The sequence below is a fragment of the Homo sapiens genome, chromosome 4 (genome assembly GCF_000001405.40).
Source record: "Homo sapiens chromosome 4, GRCh38.p14 Primary Assembly".
In the NCBI taxonomy this organism is placed as follows: domain Eukaryota; kingdom Metazoa; phylum Chordata; class Mammalia; order Primates; family Hominidae; genus Homo; species Homo sapiens.
In genome coordinates, this window is record NC_000004.12 from 70,237,281 (window position 1) to 70,262,062 (window position 24,782).

The 24,782-nt window shown below is 33.8% G+C and overlaps 1 protein-coding gene across 3 annotated transcripts; it reads left to right on the forward strand.

The window, feature by feature from the left end:
• The first annotated feature begins 1,100 nt into the window (after nucleotides 1-1,100).
• Nucleotides 1,101-14,152, forward strand: CSN3 (casein kappa). 3 transcript variants are annotated; one of them, NM_005212.3, is made up of 6 exons: nucleotides 1,101-1,175; nucleotides 5,332-5,385; nucleotides 7,532-7,593; nucleotides 10,538-10,570; nucleotides 11,718-12,213; nucleotides 13,982-14,152. In NM_005212.3, exons 3-5 carry the CDS (start codon nucleotides 7,540-7,542, stop codon nucleotides 12,177-12,179), a joined length of 549 nt encoding a protein of 182 aa, NP_005203.2. In that variant the 5' UTR covers nucleotides 1,101-1,175; nucleotides 5,332-5,385; nucleotides 7,532-7,539; the 3' UTR covers nucleotides 12,180-12,213; nucleotides 13,982-14,152. The 3 variants fall into 3 exon arrangements, with proteins under 3 accessions (NP_005203.2, XP_016863250.1, NP_001381926.1); XM_017007761.2 differs by lacking the exon at nucleotides 5,332-5,385; NM_001394997.1 differs by lacking the exon at nucleotides 1,101-1,175 and having other exon boundaries at nucleotides 5,317-5,385.
• Nucleotides 14,153-24,782: the final 10,630 nt, after the last annotated feature.

A 24,782-nucleotide genomic window follows, 5' to 3' on the forward strand; every position in this document is an offset into this window, starting at 1 on the left:
CTCTAACCTGAGAAGCAAAAGATAAACATCTTAATAATATTCTTGTTCACTAAATAACATTTCTACCAATTTTTCATGCAGATACAGAGCAAATATAACCTGATGAGTTATTTCCTTATGAAAGTAGCTAATATATCTAGGAGACAGTATTTATTTAGACTTCTATGTCAATTCAATAATACCCGGGCAGAGTTGAAACTCTGGCCAAAGCCATGGGCATCAAACCAAGGTAGCTGAAGGACACTAACAGCAATACAGCAAGGTGAACAGCAAGGCATGGACCACCTATTGGATGCTCCCCACAATCGCTTAAGGAAGCTTCTACTTCCCCTCAAGTATCCAAGACTTTAGCACGGGAATGAAATAAGAGCACAGAGACACACTGAATTCTAATTGCCGTCACTCTAAATGAGAGCCCAGCTAGAGACCAGTCTCCCCAACAGTCAGGAGAAGACCAGTTCTAATACACTCACAGGAGAACAGAGCCCAGAAAAATCCAACCCTCATCCACATGTTCTAACTCTTCTATGAAGTAAGTTAGAATTCAAGGGGAAAACAGATAATATGACTGCCCACTTTAGAAGTTCTTCTTGACTAGGTTCTGGCCTCATGCAGAGGAAAGTAGTAATTCCAAAACATTGATCTGCATAAAAAATTATTTAGTTTCTTATTTGTTCTTCAGATTTCTAGGAACATTCCTGCTCTGAAAATTTTGACTCCGTGTTGTGGGATTAGGCAGGAATTTGCAACTTGAACAAGTAGTACAGATAATTAATCATTTGCTCAAAAAGTATTTGTCTAATATGTGCCAAGCACAGGTTTAGAGACTGGGACTATTATTTTCTAATGGAAAAGGACAGGAAATAGTAAATGAACATATATAAGTTAAAAAACATTTTATATTGTAATATGTTATGAGGAAAATAAAAGGTAAAATAATAAAGTGTTTGAAGAAGTATTTAGACAAACTGCCAAGGAAAGCCTCTCTGAAATGAAGACATTTGAGCTGAATCCCAAATAATACAGGCAACATTACTGAGAATTGAGGTAAGAACATTCCAGAGACCATGAATATAAATGGAAGTTCCTGATTTAGGAGAGAGTTTGGCACATTCTAGGAACAGAAATGTCATTGAAACCAGCACACAGTGAGAGAAAAAGTGGTAGAAGTTAAGGTAAGATGGATAAAGAGAGACCAAATTATTTAGAAACAGTCCCTAGCAAAAAGTTTGAATGTATTGTAAGTGCATAGGAATCCATTGAGAATTTAATCAGAAGAATAATCATATCAGATATATGTTAAAAATAACATTTTTATAACTGTGTAAGAAATGAGTATAGGGCGATAAGAGTGAAAGTAAAGAGACCAAAAACAGAAATATTAGGATGGTTCAAGTGTAACATGCCAGTGGCTGGGACTAAAGCAACAAAGGTCAGATTAGAAAGTGGTGTCAGATTTGGGGTATATTGTTAAGATAGAATTAATAATTCTTCTAACAGGTTGTTGCAGGGAGGAGAGAAAAGATGACCTATAGGAGTCACCAGATGGCCCCTGAGCCACTAGTAGTATCATGGTACTGTTTCCTAAAGGAGAAAAGAGACTAGTGGAGAACTAGTCGTGAAACAGGGTATGTTTGGAAATAGAAGATTCTGTTTTGTTCATGATAATTTGGAGATGTCTATTTTACGTGCAAATAGAGATTTTAAAACAGCTATTGGATACTTGAATCTACAGTTCAGTGAAGGCAATAGCCTACTGATGATACTTAAGGTTACAGGAATTGAGTACATTAACTAGAAAGATATTAAAGATAGAGGGAGAAAAGATAGAGTGGTGGTGGATGCTGGAAGAATTTTTAAAAGTTCTCCTAAATTTAGAGTTTGAGGAAAATAAGAGGAACCAAAATGGAAATTAAGAGCAGCTTTAAGTGACTCGAGGGGGAAAAAAAAAGAAGGAAAAGTCAAAAAGTTTTACCAGCCAGAAAAATGAATCACCAAGCCAAGAGCTGCTACAACATTGAGTGGGAAGAATATCTAACAGCTACCACTGGATTTGGCTACACAGAGATCATCGTTGATCTGGCTGTTTATTTTGAATGGTAACAAGAATGACAAGAATGAAGTAAACATAGGACAGGATTATAGGGGGTCTTGGGTTCGTGTTGGAGAAATAACACTTTACATAAATTGATTATCCCTTGTATGTTTAAATCTGTATATTTTAATGGCTTCAGAAATCTTTGGACCCTAAAACTTACTGAGGAATAAATTAATGTGTGTGCTAATGCTAAAGTCACAATGACACTCACTCTAGGCTCCAGATGACATCAAATGTCTCCTCACAATCTGAAAATAGTCTTTCTGTAAGTGTTCAGGAGAAAGCACTATCTCCTTAGATAATCTCTACAAACAGAGATTGTGGCTGTCTACTATACTCCCAAAAGTACTTTGTTTCTAATACAAACAGTTTGTATGTGTATTGTTTGTTTAACAGAAGTGGCTACAGGAGAGTAAAATTTTGATATTCCACTTTGCTCTAGTTTGTTGACCATTTTAAAGAGCATTTTATGCTATTTTTTCCATGGTTTTTACATATAGCAAAGACTTTTGAAGCATACACATTTCTTTTTTGTATGCTTTTAGAAAATACCAATTTTCTAATGCCTTACTAATCCTATGGAAAGCTGTGTTCATCATTTACTTTGCAACTACTGTTACAAACATTATTGTACTTCAAGAACAAAATAGAGTGTTGAGGTCAGCCTGGTACTAATGAAGTGGCTGAGAAATAAAATGAGACAGAAAAAATAAAACTACATGGATGTAAATACCATCAAGGGAAGATAAAACAGACATGAAGTACATTTCAAAAGTAAGAAACATTAACAGAATAACAAGAAGTTGTTACTAAAAAAAGAGTGTATATGAGTCAATAATCATTATGTCACTTATTGCAAAATGTTTTTGTTTACAATGCTTAAAATGTGAACTTATGTACCCACAATAGCCTCTTACCCAGTCCCAGTGTGTGAATGGTGGTATGAATATACACTGATTATCAGGACCTAAACAAAGGGAAGTTGCAGCTGGACTGAAAAGCCCTGCTGGTTCTCTTCCCACAATCCAGGGACATTCCAGAATCAGGCCATGCCCCTGTTGATGGATGCATAAGTAGATAAAGACTGGTGGATTCGTTCCAGGTTATAAACACTCTCAGTTTGGAGGCCTTGTTCAGCACCATCGCAGCTTCCTTGGAGATTTCAGAGCATGCGAGTTCTGATCCTCCTTTTGCTTTTCTTTCGAAAACGCAAGAGCATTGCATAGCTCCATTATAGAATCCATCTAATTCATCTACTCCAGTCACTCAAAACACTTTCACTAAGGTTGCCTTAGATCAGTAGATATGGGAAATATCCAATGTTACCAGTACTCAAGTAAATTTTAGACTATGAGGTCCACAAGAACAGAGATGTTTACCTGCTTTGGTTACTAATTTATCCCTACTACCTGAAACAGTATCTGAAATAAGGTATGTGCTCAAAGAATAATGTCCAGGACCTGAAATATTGTATGTGCTCAAATAATAATGTACAGTTTTGCAAAGCCCCACAAAAGCTACATTAGTATTTGAAGTGAATGGGTGACACCATGGTAAACATGTTTTTATCTTGGTGGGAGAAAAGATTACTAGCACTCTCAGATGTTCTTAAAATATATTTTCCTGTGAAAACAATGTCTTCAGAAGTGTTCTGAGTCTCTGCTACTTGTAAATTAAATAATTCAATACTCAACTGAAAATCATTATCACTCTTATTACTCTAAATAAATGGCTGAGAAATTACTATGTGAAATAGAACACCTTCAAAATTTGAGGAATGACCGGATCATGATCTTTCAACCACGGACCCTGATAATCAAAGGAAAACACTGTGACTAAATAGTTCAGATAGAATGGCTGGTGTTATTACTTTACCAACTTGGTTTAGCCATTTTAAATTCTGTCATCTCTTTTTGAACCACAAAAACCAACTATTCTGAGAAACAGAAAATTTCATATTACTATTTTACTCTGTGTAATCCAAATAAGTATTCTAGGGTTTAGAATATTGTTCCTAACTTTCTAAGACATGCAATACTTCTAAGAAACAGACAGGAATATAGACATAACTACAATGCTGATATTATTTCTTGTTTGTGTTCTGGCAGTCCTACATTAATTCCTGTAAGTTCCTCAATCTGGTCAGGTCTTCACAGCCAAAATAAGTCACAGTTAACATTATTTCTTTAGAAAAGCAAGTAAAAGAAAATATGCTTTCCTGAATTATCTAAGCAAAATTTTGTTTAGCTATTTTTTGCCAAAATATTCTCAATGTCAGTGGGTTTGTGATTTATGCTCTAAGTCAAAATGACTTTCCTTAAAACAGAACAATTATCTCCAATTCAATAATTTAATAATTTTTTTTTCAAAATGGTTCACCTATATTATTGAAATTTAAAATCTTAAAAAAAGTTTATTCATAAGAGGATAATAAATCACTAAGTATGTAGTCAATGCATACGGGAGAAAATGTGCTGCAGCCCAAACGCAAATGATTCCCCACTATATACTGATTAAAATGTTTCATATATGGGTTTGACTTTTATAAGGAGGTGCTCTTGGGTATGTGTGAGATGGCCAATTATTTAATTTTTAAAAATCAATAATTGTAATTCTGGAAGGAAGAAGACCAACCACAGTCAATGCCAGATGTAGTATCACTTGAAATCCAGGTTCTTAAACTAAAAGAAACAATTAAAATGTGAAAGTATTGTGGCTATTTTTCATTTCAACAGCAGTTTTAAGTTTAAATAGATAGGATAAGTTGAATAAGAATACAATTAATATTTTTAAAAATTCTTCTATATTTCTTTATAAACAAAAAAAGATTATTTAAAAAGATATGAATACTTTTTTCAAGCTTTATGAGTGATGACTCTACATCCTTCTCTGCATTTCTTTTTTATTTTATTTTATTTTATTTTATTTTATTTTATTTTATTTTTATTATACTTTAAGTTTTAGGGTACATGTGCACATTGTGCAGGTTAGTTACATATGTATACATGTGCCATGCTGGTGCACTGCACCCACTAACTCGTCATCTAGCATTAGGTATATCTCCCAATGCTATCCCTCCCCACTCCCCCCACCCCACCACAGACTGACCCAAAGGTGACCCTGCTATCATCATCTTATTGGGTAAAAAGTAGGAGGGAAATAGAATAGCGTGACTCAAGGTACTAATACCCTTTAATTGGTCTTCAGTTATTTTTCTTGGGTCTTCTCTACAGCTGACAGGCCAACTCAACCTACTGCCAACCAAGACCTGACTGGCACGAGGAAAGGTAATGCTGCTGAAACACTTGGAGAAAGTGATCCTTTTCACAGTAGTTAGTTGGGACATCACCATAGTTATTTCAGAATCACATTTTCTTCCTTTTAGTTATTGTTAAGTTTGAATATGACCTAGCATCACTTTAAAATTAATTTCTAACCTAAACCTAAGTTCTGGATGGTGTTATGTTCAAATTTATTTTTAACTTTACTTTGGGTTCCAGTCAAATTCTGATACCAACTAAATCATAGCAGCCATTGTGAATTCCGAACAAGAAGGCGTTTAACGTATTCCTACAGACAAATGTTGAGAGTTAACTCCACAGGAAGTTGGGCTCATGATAATAATCGCAATTAACCCCTTAATTACTTTCAAATTTTATTTCTATAAAAGTCATAATTTTATTTGTTATGGAATAATTATTTTTTTAAAACATGTTTTTCAAATATTCATGAAAGCTGGATAATTCTACCATTTCACGAATTATTTCTTCTTACCAAGTGATGAGGGCAAATGCAAATGTAGCTGATGCGCAAAGTATGGTCTTATCTCTGTGATTTTTGTTTGTGCCAAAAGGAAATTACTATCATTTTATAGAATATTTTCTTTTGTTTACATATCATTTTACTGTGTGAACTGATAAGGGGTCTGTGATTCATCATAAAAACATTTTCAGTCTATAATCCTAAAAGATCACTAGCAAGTGAAGCATTAATAAGGAGCTTCATCCCACTTAAAGAAATATGAGTGTGCTTAGATTGTTCAAATTGATTCCAAATGAGTTCCATCGAATGGAAATTTGATGACATCGTATGGGCAGTTTTGAAGTCACTTTAGTAGACAGCCTTCCTAATCATTATTGCCTGAGAATCAGACGCTAATGGAGTCCAGTGGGCTTTCCATCCCCTATCTGAGGCTTTAATTCTGTGAATCTTTTTTGCGAAGTTCAACTTTGTAGTGATTCAAGTTTATATGAGTGTGTCAATAACAATAGCTGCAACAAGATGAAGTTAGTAATTACTTCCTAAACATAATATATACTTAAATATAAAAAGTTTGGGGTATCATATATTATTAGTCTAAAAAGATGATTTATTAAAAATCAAATAAGCAAGTATGACACTGTATATACTCTTTTAGAAAAATAAGGCTAATGTATTTCTTTAAATATTTTAGTCAAAGCCACTGTAATTGTCATCTCTATACTTCTTATTAAAACAATCAAGTTAATCATATCAGTTATGATTACTGGAGAAGTATGTTATAAAGAAAACAGTCTCATAACCCTCCACTTCCCATTCCATCCTACATACTTCTGTTGGATTGATCATGGAATTATAGAATTTTAGAAATCTCTAAGTTCAAACCCTGGTTTTACAGGTAAGAAAATGTAAAGCCCAGGAAAGGGAAATCACTTGATCAAAGTTACAGAGGTAGAGATAAGGCCTGGTCTAGAATTCAGTCCTCCAAAAAATGTATAGTCATACACTTTCTAGTCCAAAAACACTCAATTGTTTTCTGTTGTTTATAAAGCCATGCCTAGCTTTTTAACCCATCATTATCTTAAAGGTGTCTACTTTTTCTGCTCTAAACTTTCCTTCCAATCTTATATTTCCCTTCTCATACAAGATTCCAATCAAATGTTCATGGCGATTCTCAAGACTTTCTCCTCTACTTGAAATATTTCTCTCCCTGTTAAATACTGCATAGGCAAGCCTCATCTATATGTCATTTTTTCCACACAAAGACTGCTGCTTCTCTTAACTGAAACTTTTATTAATAGAAAACCACTTTTGTGGCATTTTCTACTTTTTTTCCCTCTTACAGTTGTTTTTCAGTATATGTTTCAACACTCTTCCTAAAATTGATGCTACTCATTGGCAAGGCCTGTATCATATTTACATTGATAATCTCAACATTTGACATAGTAATGATAATTTGATAATTCCGTTAATATTGTCAAAAATTAAATTCAGAAATTTTTACTCCAAGTTTGAGTTTTTACATTCTTTTGTTAAAATAAATTTTTCACATCGGCTAAATCTACCTGTAAATCTGGCTTTTTTTCTTAATCAAGGAAACATTGTATTCAAGTCACTCCTAAATTTCTAGTAACAAATTCTTTTAAATTAATTTTTTTTTAAATTTATCTTTAGGTGCAATAATGAAGAGTTTTCTTCTAGTTGTCAATGCCCTGGCATTAACCCTGCCTTTTTTGGTAAGTTAATTTCATCTAACCAGATTGTACTGACTTTAAGAAAATTTTGTTTAAGGGCTTTAACTATGCAAACTTCTAAATACAATTATGCTTCATAGAACAAAATATCCACATAGTTGTTACATTTTTAAGGTTAATTTTTTTAATATTTATTTCTATTATGAAATCAAAGTCATGTTCTTTTGGATATCCATTTAGTTCTGTGAATTAAGAAATCACACTTAATCATGTACAGGAAACTTTTAAAATTCTCATGCTATAGAGAAAATACATTCAGGGGAAAAACAATACTGAAAACATTTTAAAATTGTAAATGCATTAAGGATAATTCAGAAAGAATAAATACAGAAATCATAGTCTGGGAATCAGAAATTATTTTAATTAAGTTCCTGTCTCACCCAGACTCCAATCTCTTTATGGAAACAAAATCCTTCAAAGGTCAACTTTGGTTAAGCTTTTTCACAAGTTTCAAAGACCTTGATACTTCTGCCTTTAATATTTGAATCATTAACTTTTGTTATATTCTTCCCCATTATGTCAATTGACTGACCCCTTTCCAGGGATCAATGGTTATAAACAGCTTGAAGGCTTGCAGGCATTATCTTGAATTATATGCAATGTTTTAAGGCTACTGGACTTAGAAAAAGGTTCTGTTTTTTTCTTTTAATTTTTTGACTTGTTTTTATTGTTGTTTTGGCTATTGCCTCTTTTTATTTTCTTGTTCATCTGGGTATTCTAGGCACTGACAAAGGAGGCAAGCATAAATAATGGTATATGTCCTCCTCCTAGATTGTAAAATTTTGAGGAACACTAGTCCTCGTTCTGTGAATCTCTGTAATATTTATTTATTATTAAGTTTAGAGTTGCTTTTAAGTTAACATCTATTAATTAATTCTATTACCTGCATGTTGTGCTTGTGTATAACATGTCCATTAATTCTATTAGGTCAATTCTTGGAGTCAAAATTACCTTTTAAAACTTTGAGTTCTACAACTCAATACTTTGTGGTCACCTGAACATTTGGAACTTAGGTTGTCTCTTTGAGTAATAGGGCTTAAAGTTTAAATCATGAAATGATCTACAAATCCCTGCTGCATAGCAACCTCTTCCTGAGCTACCTGAGCCGGATTCGTCTTTCAAACATTCCTTCCCATTTTCACAAAGGCTTCAGGCCTCAGGGACATGAACAAATATACAGAAAAAAAAAAATTTATTGATTTTACCATTCAATCTTATGAGTAGTCAAATTTATACAAATTAAAACATCAATGTGATACCATGTTATATGTACTATTTTATCCCTTCCCCCAAAATAAAAATAGTTAGATAATATTTTACTAGCACTTATGCACTAAACTGCATAAACACATAGCCTATTGGTGACATTATAATTTGACACAACTTTTCTATACCACAATTTCATAATTTCTATCAAAGAATCAAATCTCATTTGTGAAAAATCATTTTAAGGTATTAACGAAAATTATTAAAAAGGCCACTGGTATACAGATGTTAATCATCACTCTGTTTATAATTAAAATTTTATCTTAATAGATAACGATAAGAAATAAACATTTCATGACATAATCATTGATCACTTAGTTATCAACTATAAAAATGTAACTATGAAACCTATGATATAAATAAAAAAAAGAGACACCACATTTCCTATAAAAATGCAGGATACTTTTTAGACAAGCATATACCAGGAATACATAACATAGGTTGATATCGCATTAAGGTATCTAGATTGTCAGAATTTTTTAAAGTATACTTTCTACAATATTCATATTACTTCTTTTTTTTTTTTTTTTTTGAGACAGAGTCTCGCTTGGTCGCCCAGGTTGGAGTGCAGTGGCACAATCTTGGCTTACTGCAACCTCTGCTTCCCAGGTTTAAGCGATTTTCCTGCCTCAGCCTCCCAAGTAGCTGGGACTACAAGTGCCCGCCACCATGCCCAGCTAATTTTTGTATTTTTAGTAGAGGCAGGGTTTCACCATGTTGGCCAGGCTGGTCTTGAACCCCTGACCTCAGATGATCCACCCACCTCTGCCTCCCAAAGTGCTGGGATTACAGGGTGAGACATGTGCCCGGCCTCATATTACTTCTTTACATTTTAAACTAATGATTTAATATATTTAAAGAAAAGCAAGTCTTTGTCTCAAAGCAAGGAAACTTTATTACCTTCTCAATTTTCTGATTTTCTATACTCACACCTTCCAAAAGGTTTCTAGAGTCATTTTATACCCAAGGAATACATGTGTAATGTCCTAAAACAGAACTGTCAATTTAAAAATATTTAATATTATACCTCCTTTCAAAAGTTTCTAAAAGCTTTGGAGTTTTTAGTTTTATAAATATGTGTCCATAAAAATTGTTTTCTCACTCCTGATTCTCTAAATATGTCACAATCCAAAACTAAGAAAAGCACTATAAAAACAAATGAAAGATGGTATTAAAAACACTATTATTTATATGTTAAGTTTATGCAAGAGGCAATATTTTAAATCTTCTAAGTAAACCTTATGAATCATCTTAGTATGAGAGCAGAGAAAGGAAAAAAGGCTCAATGCTCCTCTAATTTTTAACAATCTAACAATGTATATTTAATAAAAACTAAATAGAAATTATTCATATTTTTCATTTAAGCATATTTGTTGGCATGGGAGTCAGATGACTAGATTTTTCCCACAGTGACTTTTTCATTCTAGGTGGTGATGTTTAAAGACAATATAAACATGCAGTTTATTATTACTAATCAGTTAGACTACTGTTGCTTCTTAAGTAGTCCATAGGCCTCATAGATCACTCATGAAAAATGTTTTAAAAAATAAAAAGAAAACATATTTTGTCTTTAACACAAAAGATTTTTTTAACTGATTTAAGTACTTTTTTTTTCTTTTTTAACTTATTTCTCATTATTTCTTCTTCTGGAACTCCCCAGGCTGTGGAGGTTCAAAACCAGAAACAACCAGCAGTAAGTCTATTTTAATTACTTCTGTTACAGGCATGAACTACAAAATATATTCTGCAAAGGTCAATTGTATTATAGATGCCTTCTGTCTAAAACCTAAATATTTCATTTCCATAAAACAATCTAATAATATTTGCAAGAAAATAATTTCAGCAACAGGTGATATGAATCAACATTGATGTTCATCTGAAAGTTTTATTTTCTTATATAACCCAAATCATGTATCTTTGGTTTTCATGTATATTTAGCAATATGAGAAAACTCTTTCAACATTTCATATTGGAAAAAAATGAAAACATAAGTAAAGCTTAATATTTCCCCTTTCCACTTTTTAAGACAAGGGAAGATCCTTTTCTGACCCATCTTTGAATACTTCTCATACATCTATATTTACTTCCCCTTTCGTTTCCCAAATATGTTTGAATACATTTAAATGTGTCTCGTTTTAGGAGAAATGTTTGCTTTGTAGTATAATTTTGTCAATTTATTTCTATTCATATGGAAAGGTCTACTGACAAATTTTTAAACAGAGGCACATAGATATAGACAATTCTTTATCTAATCTTTTGTGAAGAAAATTAAACCAAAAAAAATCCAAAATCTAAATCCAGGAATCTCTCCACATCACATTATGTTACTATTCTGCTATAGTTTAGGAAAAAATAAATGTGCTCTTGGGCTAATTTTTAAATGAATAAAATTTGAGACCAATTACAAATATGTGGTGAGAATACATACGTGTGTGTGCGCCATTCTGTGTGTGTCTGCATGTTGTGCTTGTGTATAACATGTCAAAGTTCTCAATGAGATTTTTCTCTGTGTTGTACCTACAATAGCTAACATATAAGATCACTTTCCATATATGCCAATCTCTGGGCAATATGGTTTACATTATGAATAAACTCATCTAATTTCTTGAAACAAATATTATATTAATATTATCAAAATAATATTTATAATATTGAAAATCATAAAGTGGAAAGGCAATGTACAAATCAACATCTTATAAAATAATATTGCTGCTGGGTTCCATACTTCTAATATCTTACTCAATGGTAAATACTATATTATTTCAAAAAATGCAGATTTAAGGTATTTCCACATTTGGGTCTATAATAATAATATTCTGTATAATTTATTTTTTTTGCAGTGCCATGAGAATGATGAAAGACCATTCTATCAGAAAACAGCTCCATATGTCCCAATGTATTATGTGCCAAATAGCTATCCTTATTATGGAACCAATTTGTACCAACGTAGACCAGCTATAGCAATTAATAATCCATATGTGCCTCGCACATATTATGCAAACCCAGCTGTAGTTAGGCCACATGCCCAAATTCCTCAGCGGCAATACCTGCCAAATAGCCACCCACCCACTGTGGTACGTCGCCCAAACCTGCATCCATCATTTATTGCCATCCCCCCAAAGAAAATTCAGGATAAAATAATCATCCCTACCATCAATACCATTGCTACTGTTGAACCTACACCAGCTCCTGCCACTGAACCAACGGTGGACAGTGTAGTCACTCCAGAAGCTTTTTCAGAGTCCATCATCACGAGCACCCCTGAGACAACCACAGTTGCAGTTACTCCACCTACGGCATAAAAACACCAAGGAAATATCAAAGAACACAACGCAGGTAAATTAACAGTATATAAAATGAGTAATTCCGACAAGAAGCATGGATTTATGAATACAACCATAAATTCTAAAATAGTACAAATAGATAAACTAAGTGTGTTACAGAAGCAGACAAAACAGGGTACTTACAGTTTTACCTTGGTAAACCCATAGCATTGATACACCAGATTCTGTTCCAACTAGAAATTTAAAATAATTTTATTTGACAAAGTGAAAATAATTGGCAACTTCATTATCAAACTTTTTTCTGACAATTGGGACACTCTTAGAATGTAATAGTTTTATTTCATCCTTATTCACACACAAACTATGACAGTAGAGTAAAACAGCAAGTAACATTTTCATGATATTTCAAAAATAATTTTTAGAAGAAGTTATATAGAATATGAGTTTGAGTAAATTTTAATTCTGTAACAATTCTCTTGCACTCTCATTGTAGTATGAACAGAGTAAAAGGAAATGATATGCTTCCATGCATTTCTTTATTTCAGACATCATTTCCAAAATGATTCATGAAGTTAAGCCTCTCAAATTTCTCCTATTCTAAGATAAACCCATGGAAGAATTATAATGCTTAACTTGAAAAACACATAAATATTAAAAGGATACTTTCAGAACACAATGTGATGCAAAGTGTTACTATTTATTACTTGGACCAATGGATAATGGCAGAATATAAAATAATTTGAAACTTATGAGAAGAATTTAAACAAAGAGAATGATTAATAAAGTGGAAAATATCCAAAGAGTGTAAAATAATTTGGGGAGAAAGTTGCAAAATGTGGAGTTTCTTTACAACAAATATTTTCAGTCCATCAGATGTCTACATGTTTTATGATCTAAAATACCAGACAATGGTCTGTGATATCATGGGACTACCATTAGCCCAGAAAAGGTTGCTTCTTTCATCTGCTTGCCTAATGACCATAGGCTGGTCATTACTTTCTCTGAACTTTTATTTTCTCATAATTCTGGTTGCTATAAGACTCAAGAGAGAATGCACATGGGAAAGGATTTTAAAAACTGATCAATCTGTAAAATGTCATGTATTGGAAAAGATAAAGTAAAATTCATACCAGTATCCTAAGTCTCCACTAAATGATAAAAACCGTACATAATTATGTCTGTTGATTCCCATAGTAACCATATGAAACAGATATTATTCCTATCTCAAATTTAGGGATAAAAACCAGTAGGACTGAGGACATTAAGTAAATTATCACAGCTAGAAATTGCAAATGGGAGGCAAACCAAACCTGTTTAATTTCAGATAGTGGGGTTTAATTACTATGTCATTTATTTTTATATGGGCTGTCTAACTTGCTGAAAAACAGGGAAAATACACTGTGATTTCCTTAGACTAGCATATGGGTAAATTGTGTTGTTTAGTTGCTGTTCAACAGGATATCCATTAAGAAAAAGAGAACAAGAGCTGGTTAAACAGCTGGCTTATTATATTTTGGAGAACAAAATAAGAAAATTAATAAAGACAACATGAAAGCAAGTTATTTAATAAGTAGTTACATATTTTACTGATGCAAAACATAAAGAAGCATGTAAAAGAGTTTTTTCTGTAAATATTACATAATGTCTATTATTTTCAGTTTACTATATGCCTATTTTAAATATTTAAGTTTAAATATGTAATCTGATTGACTTATTGGATACAGACATGAAAGAAAAATTGTGGAAGCTAAATAAATATATATCATGAGAACTGTTAACATACTATGAATAAATTTCTAAACTATCATTATTTTTTATAGGACTTGCTGAAACCAAATTACTACTTCACACTCTCCTTCAGCCATTTGTCTGCCTTCAGTCAACAGAAAATGTGATTTTCACAGATTCAGCTCTTCTCTCCTTACATTTTACATTCATGCCACATTCAATATTTTGATTCTTGCACAATAAAGCCAACTGATTGCAACTGATTCTTTGAGAGGAGTTTGCAAAGGTACCTCAGGGATCTCTGAAACTTTGAAACGCTATGACAAATTTAGTGTGAGTTAGAGTACACAAATTTACCTAAAGGCAGTGCTCATAGTTTCATCAGGTTCTCAAAGTGGTTCATGGTCTGACACTAAGAATTTCTCCTCTAGGATGACACTGGGACCAGAGAAAAGCCAAGCCATAGTGTTCCAATCCAGGGGACCACAGAGTGACTCTTGAGAGCCATGGGAACTCTAGAGTTAGCATTAAATTTAAGTGACCAAATGTATTGCTAACGTTAGTCTAGATTATTCCTGAGAGCAAATTCTGGGCACAGGCAAACTACAAATGTCCAGAACTACAAACACAGATACGTTGCAAAATTATAGATGTTGACAGAGACTCTAAACATGCATGACCAGATTTCCCCACACTGGACTCCACAGTCTCACATCTGTTCAAACACACACACACACCCCCACACCCACCCACCCACCCACACACACACACACACATCACACACCAGAAAGCTTCTGGAATTCAGGTATTCCAGTTTGGAAAAACTCGTGAATATTCAAGGTCCAAGGATAGGACATAGTTGTTTTCTTAAACAAATATTGCAAGGAAAATCAGGTCACCTTTGTGCTTGGTCCATATTTAACACATCATGCCAGAAAAAATAAAATTCACTCAGCCCTTACAAAATGTTTACTGGTCACCTATCTAATCTTCTGCTGTGACTCCCAACAGATGTGCTATTATTAGGATTGATTTACAGTGTTTTACCTGCTCTCTCACTCAAATAGAGAGTCTTGAACAGAGACATGGAAGGAATATGGCATGGCTAGACCTTATTTGCTATGATCATTAATGATATTATTAATTTCTTAAAAAACAAAGTAAATATGTGGAAAAGGCAAAATTTATATCATTAATTTAAAATCTTACCACCTATTATACACAAGGTATTATAAGAATTATTGTGATAATACAAACAATATTAATGGCTGATAACAATAAGCAACAAGCAGTTATAAAGTACATACTATTTGCCAGTCAATCTTCTATTTGTTTATATGTATTTACTCATTTAATATGTAGTCATGAACTACATATATTTATTCTTGTTGTTATTATAAGTGAAAGAGAAATGAAGTAATTTTCCCCACGTGAAGCTGAGATTTGAACTCAAAGTCTTGCTTTAAAGTCCATGCTCTTTAAAAACTGACACATGGACCAATGGAACAGCATAAAGAACCCATAAATAAAACTGAATGTATTCAGTCAACTAATTTTCAGCAAGGGTACAAAGAAGACACAACAGCAAAATTATAGTCTTTTTAACAAATGGTGCTGGGAAAACTGGATATCACAGAAAAAGAATGATATTGGACCCATATCTTACACCATACACAAAAATCCACTCAAAATGGGTAAAAGCTCAATGTAAGACCTGAAACTTTAAAATTACTAGAAGAATACCTAGGGAGAAAGCTCCTTGACATTGGCCTTGGCAAAAATTGTTTCGGATATCACACTAAAAGCTCTGGCTACAAAATCAAAAATAAGTAAATGTTCTCCCTCATAGGTGGGAATTGAACAATGAGAACACACGGACACAGGAAGGGGAACATCACACACCGGGGCCTGTTGTGGGGTGGGGGGAGGGGGGAGGGATAGCATTTGGAGATATACCTAATGTTAAATGACGAGTTATTGGGTTCAGCACACCAAAATGGCACATGTATACATATGTAACTAATCTGCACGGTGTGCACATGTACCCTAAAACTTAAAGTATAATTAAAAAAAAAGTCCTATAAGAAAAAATGCCATCTTTATGAATCTCTGCAATAAAACATGGCATAAACCTTTAAAAAAATAAGTAAATGGACTACATCAAACTAAAAAGCTTCTGCACAGCAAAGAAAATAATCAACCAAATAAAAAGACAGCCTATAAATTGGGAGAGAATATTTGCAAACCATTTATCTAATAAGGGGTTAATATCCAAAATATATAAAGAACTCACAAAACTCAATAGCAGAAAAACAAATAATCTGATTTTTAAAATGAGCAAAAGACAGGCCTGGTGCGGTGGCTCACGCCTGTAATCCCAGCACTTTGGGAGGCCAAGGCGGGCAGATCACAAGGTGAGGAGATAGAGACCATCCTGGCTAACATGGTGAAACCCTGTCTCTACTAAAAATATAAAAATTAGCCAGGCGTGGTGGCATGTGCATGTAGTCTCAGCTACTCGGGAAGCTGAGGCAGGAGAATCGCTTGAACCCGGGAGGCAGAGGTTGCAGCGAGTCAAGATCGCGCCATTGCACTCCAGCCTGGACGAAAGAGCAAGACTCCGTCTCAAAAAAAAAAAAAAAAAAAAAAGAAAGAAAGAAAAAAAGAAAAGAAAAAGACATAAATAGATATTTCTCCAAAGAAAACAAAAAAATGGTGAACAAGTATATGAAAGGATGATCAGCATCACTATCAAGAAAATACAAATGAAAACCACAATAAGATATCACACCACACCTGTTAGGATGACTATTTCAAAAAGACAAGGGATAATAAGTGTTGACAAGGATGTGGACAAAAGGCAGTCTTTGTGCATTGTTGGTGGGAATGTAGATAGGTGCAGCCACTGTGAAAAACAGTACGGAGGTGCCTATAGGAATTAAAAATAGAATTACTGTATGACCCAAAAGGCCCTTTTCTGGGTATCTACTCAAAGGTAATGAAACCACCCTTTGTAACGATATCTGCACTCTCTTGTTCATTGCAGCATTAGTCATAATAGCCAGTGTGGAAACAACCAAAGTGTATATCAAGGGATATGGATAAAATACATTGAAACACACACACACACACACACACACACACACACACACAGGGATATTATTCAGCCTTAAAAGAAAGAGATTCTGCTACTTGCCACAACATGGAAAAACTTTGAACTTGTAGGACAGAAAGCTAAGTGAAACAAGCCAGATATAGATAAAAAGAATACCGAATAATTTCACTTACATGTGGAATCTAAAAAAAAAAAAAAAATCAGTCAAATTCACAAAAACAGAGAACAAAATGGTAGTTACTGGGGGTGGGCCACACTGGAAAGATGTAGGTCAAAGGATACAGAGTTGCATGTAGGATGAATAAGTCTAGAGATCTAATATACAACATGAGAACTACAGTTAATAATATTGTATTTATTTGAGGTTTCTGTTAAGAGAGATTTTTGATGCTCTTGACACACACAAAAATGGTAACATTGTGAAATGATGAAAGTGTTAATTTCCTTGATTGTAGTAACGATATCACTATGTATATAAAAAATTATGTTGTATACCTTAAATACATAAAATAAAAAATAAAAGTCTATTATCTTAATCATGTAAAAACTACTATAAAATCATTTTCAATACAGCAGGTGAAATAAAATGTGAAGCAAAATACTTTGCAACAAGGAAAACATTCTTAATATTGGCTCATATTAATATGATTATGTCTAATTAAATAACATTAATAATAAGTTGCCAAAAGTAAGATTTAAGTTAAACACTTACCTCCCAGATATAATGTTACTCCATATTTGTGTCAATTGGATTAACTAACTGGAATATTGTATGTACCTAATCCCTCAGCTACTATTTTTACATATTCACAAAATACATTGTTGAGCTGCTTATCTTTGACTTGAATAAATTACTTCAGATGCAAGGATTCATCCAGGTAGAAGTGGTTTGTTACACATGAGAAATTGGGTTGTTGGCATAGAAGAGATCTGATCTGGAGGTGGTCACCCATAGTCATTTACTTCTGTCGATTACTAGTCTATTGCCCACTGTAAATACAGCATGTTTCCCTCCCACCTCTAGGACGTCATAGTCTAATGAGATTTAGAAAAACATTTTATTTCTCAATCCTGCAAAACAGCCATATTTGAAAGTTCCCAGGTACTCGGAATCCAGTGTTACATTATGTAACAATTGTTTATATAGCACTTTAAAATGTATAAAGCACTTTTACACATGCCAACCTTTTAACCGTCACCAATAAACTCTTGAAGTAATTTGTTATTGATCCTCATTTTACATATGTGGAAACAGCTCCAAAATGGTCAAACATATGGTAGTGAAAATGTATAGGGTTCATATTTACTTAGAATTTGATCAAAGTTTCAGCTCAATATTACTTAGCTGTGTAACTTTGGGCAATAAATATAATGGAAAGTACTATATATTGATTTATTGATATATCTGTCAGGCTCTATAACAAGGGTTTTATAGGTATTTTATATTGCACACTGTTAGGGAAGTACTATTATTATACTTATGCAGATATGAAGAAACAGGCTCAGAGGGATTAAGTAATTTGGCTAAGATAAGAAAATATTGAGTAGTAGAACTTAGCTTTGAACTCTAGCAATTCAATCCGCCAGCCCTCATTGCCATATCACTAGAACATATAACCTTTAATCTGATTAGAGTATTTAAGGTATTAGAGTACCTTATATTAGTTGGTCATTCAATACGTGTTCATTCATTTATCCCTTAACTCCCTAAGTGACATTGCCAAGGACATCCATTGTCCTTAAGATAAAGTCAATTTTCATAGTCCTATTATTTACCTTCCCACTTCATTTCTCTTCATTAGATCATCATACCATTCACCCCAGTGACTCAAAGACTTCTCACACTGCTTTATAGCTATACCATCACCATCCTCCAGGACTTTTCTGAAGCTGCTCAGATCACCGTGATAATTCATAGCATCTAATCAAAATATGAATCCCTGACCTATGTCCTTGAGGAAATAGTTCCTGAACTTCCAAAATCAAGTGATCCACTAACGTACCACCCAGTATCCTGGCCCTCCCAGCTCCTCTGTCCCTTAATACTCCTTAAACTCGATGAAACCGGCCTATCCACCTCTCCCACTGGGGCTATAAACCCTAGAGACTGTATTCTGCTCACCACTGTCTCTCCAAGGTGAGGCCTAATACAGTGTAGGAGATAAATAAATATTTGTTAAGCAAATAAACAAGGAAAGGAAAAATGAATTGTTGGTGACTAAAGTAGAAATACCGATTTAATTGGATTAAATAGCCTAGGCTTTTCTTACCAAAATCCATAAAGAAAAAACAGTGTTGACCTTAACAGTTTACTAGTGATGATGAATCAAAGCTATCAAAGGCATTGTTAGGCCAACTTTAAATACGAAAGAAAATTACTCAAATGATATTATCAATCACAGAAATCTGAAAGTGTAAAGAGAGAATGTTTTTATAATTTAATCTCAGTTTGCAAGGAAAGAAAATTGAATGTCAACAGAATGATAACCAAATTGCTGTATCAATATTATATATTATCTTAACTCTGGCTCAATATTTGGAAGAAGATGATAGCATCTCCTCTTCCTAATCTTCCTAATGTGATGTGCTGTCATAGTTGCCATATGTCCATGATATTGGGATAAAGATTATAAAGCTAATAGTCAAGGCTAATGAGCAAAATTATACTTAAAAGATCAAGTGTATTATGTTTATGTCTGTATTTTATTGGCATATACTGAAAAATCCCAGAAACTTTGGAAGGTAAGATTAAACTCTTAAATGTTCCCCATAAAATAAATGTTTTGTATTAATAGTTATTTTCCATATTAAAAATAATTCTTTTGAATCATTCCTTACAAAATATCTACAAGTATTGTTGGGATGGCTAAGACAAGGACCTTAAATAATAAAATCTTGACATACTTCATGCTATGGAAGCAATAAATTTGAAATTTAACATTTGAAGTAATCATACAAATAATAAAAATGTTATAAGCAATAAAATTATTGTTTCTTTTTCCTAAGATGTAATAGTGAAACATACTGTTTTTACAAACAAATTTTCACAAGCAACTGATTTTGTAAACCAATTTGACTTTCTTTTAATCAGTATTAACCCTTGCCAATAGTAATCATATTAAAATTTTCTCAGTCTCTCCCCAATAGGAAATAAGTAGGAGGGACATCAAGAATGAAGGGTTTATTTATTAAAAGGGTGCTAACTCATTCCATTTGGAGACAATGACAGTCGTAGAAGAACCAGCTTGGTTAAGAGAAGAAGACATCTGACCAGAACATAGAGGAGAAACCCCCTGTCTAAGGTATCTATTCAGGGAAGAATTTGGGACATAGAGTTTTCTTTTAGGATCTGGGATTTCCGCCATTTTGACAAAACAGTAATAGCTAAATAAATCAATAACTGGAATTTAAATCTGCTGATTTAGGCAAATTAAACTTGTTTTTAACACTCTTTTATTAATTACTGGTGGGAACTGGTCATACATACTCACTAAAAGATAGATTCCCACTCACTTTCGCTAATTCTACAGATAAAGCTTATTCTTATGAATTATTCAAGTTTTATTGCTGTATAGCAACCATTGGTAAAATGGGATTTAAGTTAAAAAATCATAAAGCAAACCTGTCTTTGTTCAGAAAAATTTCTATACCAGAAATGCTTCACCTCTGCCTAAGACGTTTCCTGGTATTAAAGTAGATACTGAATTCAATACCTGCCTCAACACTTTGAGACCTCTGTGGAAGCATTGACTATAGTATTGTCCTGAGATCCTAAAAGCATGAGTTGCTACTTTTTAAAGCTAAAAACTTCTGTAAAATAAAATTTTATTTAAATAATGGGCTTATTCTTATATTTAAAGAAGCACTTAGCTCCTAACCCTAATTACTCTAAATTACTCTTCTATTATCAGACCTTTATAAAGTTCACAGAAAGCTCTCTAGTAACCAGCAAATTATTTTGTGATAGCATTGCTGCCTGAGAAGTCTTAATTCCATAACAGATTGAAATGAAGGTGGATTTGAATAACATATTCATCACTACACTATTAAGTATGGATTCTCTTTATTCTTTTTTTTTAAGTCTTGCTAAGTTCCATGAAGAAAAAATGAAGGCCTTCATCTTGACTATGATCATCTTGAACATTATTATATTCTTCTTGGCAAATTTTTAATTGTCTTAAATGGGTAATTTTGTTGTCATTTAGAAAAAGGTAAAGGTGCCCACATCAATCATATGCCACAAAAACATCTTATACTAAATCATCATTGTGTTTGCAACCCAAATAATATATGCTTTGTTGTATTAAAAATTTTTACCTTGAACTTTATTATATCTTTATTATATATTTTCATAAAATGATATTTGTAGCCAATAAAAAAAATCAGAAATTTATGTCCACACTAAAACCACACAGATGTTTATAGCAACTCTAATTCATAATTGCCAAAATGTGGAAGCAACCAAGCTGTCCTACAATAGGTAAATGGATAAATAAACTGTGGTACATCCATACAATGGAATATTACTCATCATTAAAAAGAGATGAGCTATCCAACCATGAAACGACATGGAAGATCCCTAAGTCAATATTACCAAGTGAAAGAAGCCAATCTAAAACAGCTACATACTGTGTAATTCCACTATATGACATTCCGATCAAGGCAAAACGATGGAGACAGTAAAAGCATCAGTCATTGCCATGGATTTGATGAGAGGGAGGAATAAATAGGTGGAACACAGAAGATTTTACAGCAATGAAAACTATTCTGTAAGATGCTATGATGGATATATGTCATTATACATTTGTAAAAACCCATAGAATGTAAAATACCACAAATGAACCTTAATATAAACTATAAACTTTGGGTGATGATGATGTGTCGATGTAAGTTAATCCACTGTAATGAATGTGCCACTCTAGTACAGGATATTGATAATAAAGGAGGCTGGGATAGGGGGCTGAAATAAGGAGTATATGGGAACTCTCTGTACTTCACACTCAGTTTTTCTGTGAACCTAAAACTGCTTTTGAAAAGTTTTTAAGAAAAAGAAAGAAATGAAAATCAAAATATGAATAACATCAAAATGGCTATTTCCTATTTTTATCAATTAATTTTTTAAATACACCCAATGTAGCTTGATGCCACACATATTTAGTCTTTACTTAAACATGTATTTTTAATTTAGACAAGCGAGAGTCTTAAAACTCATGATCTGGTTTTTTGTTCTTGCGATAGTTTACTGAGAATGATGATTTCCAATTTCATCCATGTCCCTACAAAGGACATGAACTCATCATTTTTTATGGCTGCATAGATAGGTGGGAATTGAACAATGAGATCACATGGACACAGGAAGGGGAATATCACACTCTGGGGACTGTGGTGGGGTGAGGGGAGGGGGGAGGGATAGCATTGGGAGATATACCTAATGCTAGATGACGAGTTAGTGGGTGCAGCGCACCAGCATGGCACATGTATACATATGTAACTAACCTGCACAATGTGCACATGTACCCTAAAACTTAAAGTATAATAAAAAAAAAAAAAACTCATGATCTGTCGAGACAAATGCCATCAAGGTTAAATTCATCTTTCAAAACCAGAAAAACAAAGACCTCACATATCCAGGCTGCACTAAGACAAGCCTACATCCCGACATCAAAGCAATCATCAAGCCAGGCTTCACTTACTGTGACTCAACCAAAATCACCTGTGTCAGTTTTAACAAACCAATCTCTAACAACCAATTCTTTTAAATCTTCAACATCCAAGTCTACATCCAAACATTCATTATCTTAAAATCCAGCAAAGGAGTCTAACTCTACCAAAAAGCAATTTCTAGCTAAAAAGACTGTAAAAAATCAGCCTCAACCAGAACAACTTCAAAAAACAACAGAAATTAATCTACAAGTTTACACACAAAGTGACTTTACCTGACAAGTCTATGCCCAATCAGGCATCTCTCACCAAAACTGCTATAAAAAGGAAGACAGCTGCTAAGCCTAAACAGAAACAGTCAAAAGTTACCAAATCTATACCCAAGAGGACATCATCTTCTCACAAAACAAACAAAAGGTCATCAGTTGCCAATGCTACACAGAAATCATTCGTAAAGAGAGCAAAAAGAAAGGCCACAGCTGCGAAAGCTGCACTTTGGCAAACATCATTTTTCCAGCGTGCAGTGAGGAGCCTCTAGTTCCTACATCTAAAGTTTCCACAGGTAACACAAGAAGAGTTTCTTCTAAGAGGGGTCCACCAAAACAATTTCCCAGGCTACAGCTCCACTTCAAAAACAGCTGCAAAGTTCACAGCCAAAAAGTCTCAAAGATGCAATTCTGCTGGAAGCCAGTGTCCAGCTTCCAAAAACAAACCAGAGAAGATGGGCCCTTTAAGTCCTCGTCTCCAACTTACTTGACTTTACTAAATATTCCTAAGCACCATGTGCACAAACCTCATCCACCATCCTCATGTTCAATAAAAATGCATCCATCCCAATTTCAAACTCACAAATCTAAACCTCATAAGCCCATACCTTGTCCACATCGACCTAAAAAGTATCCATCTCAGAATTCTGGAGAAGCAGCTACTTCATCACACAGAGCGGCAGCTCCTATCCTTGCAGATATCACCACGGCAGCCATTGGAGATAATAATGATATCACTACTAGCATGTCTCAAATTACACCTACCTCAAAGGACTTTTCTACTACCCTCTTACCTACTACAACTATCTCTGTATCTCAATCATCACCCACTCTGCAGATTACACTACCACCAGGCAAGGTACCACTGCGTTTGAAAGCATCACTGTTGTAACTAACACTACTACTGCCGCAGTAGGTAAAACCATGTTTGAAGTTGAAGCCACTACTGCTAAAACTGACACAACTATTAAAGAGACTGCTGTAACTGCTTCTATGACCAACAACCACTATAGATAGCACTTAACAGTGCAACTGACACTGAAATCACTATGGAGGCTCTAGAAACCATGACAGCTACTCTAAGAGTGACAACTTCTACCCTCGACATGACTCTGCCTGGGACCAATAACACTTCCACTGCTGCCCCTAATTCCACCACTGCCCTGGATGATGCTACCAGTGCCACCAATACTACTGTTGACACTGAGCCTGAAAGAAATGTCACTGTCCCTGAAGAGTATACCTACGATATTGAAGATTATAATCCAGCTTCTGTGAGTATGACCCAGAGCTTGCTGAAAGTTCCACCATAATTACAGTATCTAATGCCACAAGTGCTGTTATTCCTTCATCTCCAGGGGCCACTGCGCCTATACAAAATGCCTGAGAAACTACAACTGATAACACTGCTCAGAATCTACAGGTGACAGCTACTCCATATAGCCCTTGAATGTTGACGGGATACCCCAACCAATGATCAAAAGTCTTTGAGAAAATACTGAAAATGTTTAGCAGTGAAAACATAGCAATGCTGTAAGCATACTATAATGTGGTTTTTAAGTCTTTTTTCCTTATATGCCAATATGTCATATCATATATTTGAAGCAACACAAGGAGAATTGTCATTGCATTTTTAAATGATGATTCAAAAAGTTCGCAGTTCTCAACACTTGACATGATTGGAATTTGTCTTGTATTCTCATTTCGCTCTAAAGTGTCTTTGATGTCCTAAGAGCAACAATCCTTAAATCCTCTTAATTCCCCTCTCTTGAGTACTAAAATCCCTCATTCACTGACCTTGATTAAATTATTCAACAAAAATTTGTCTCTTATAGTTTAAAGGGATAATTT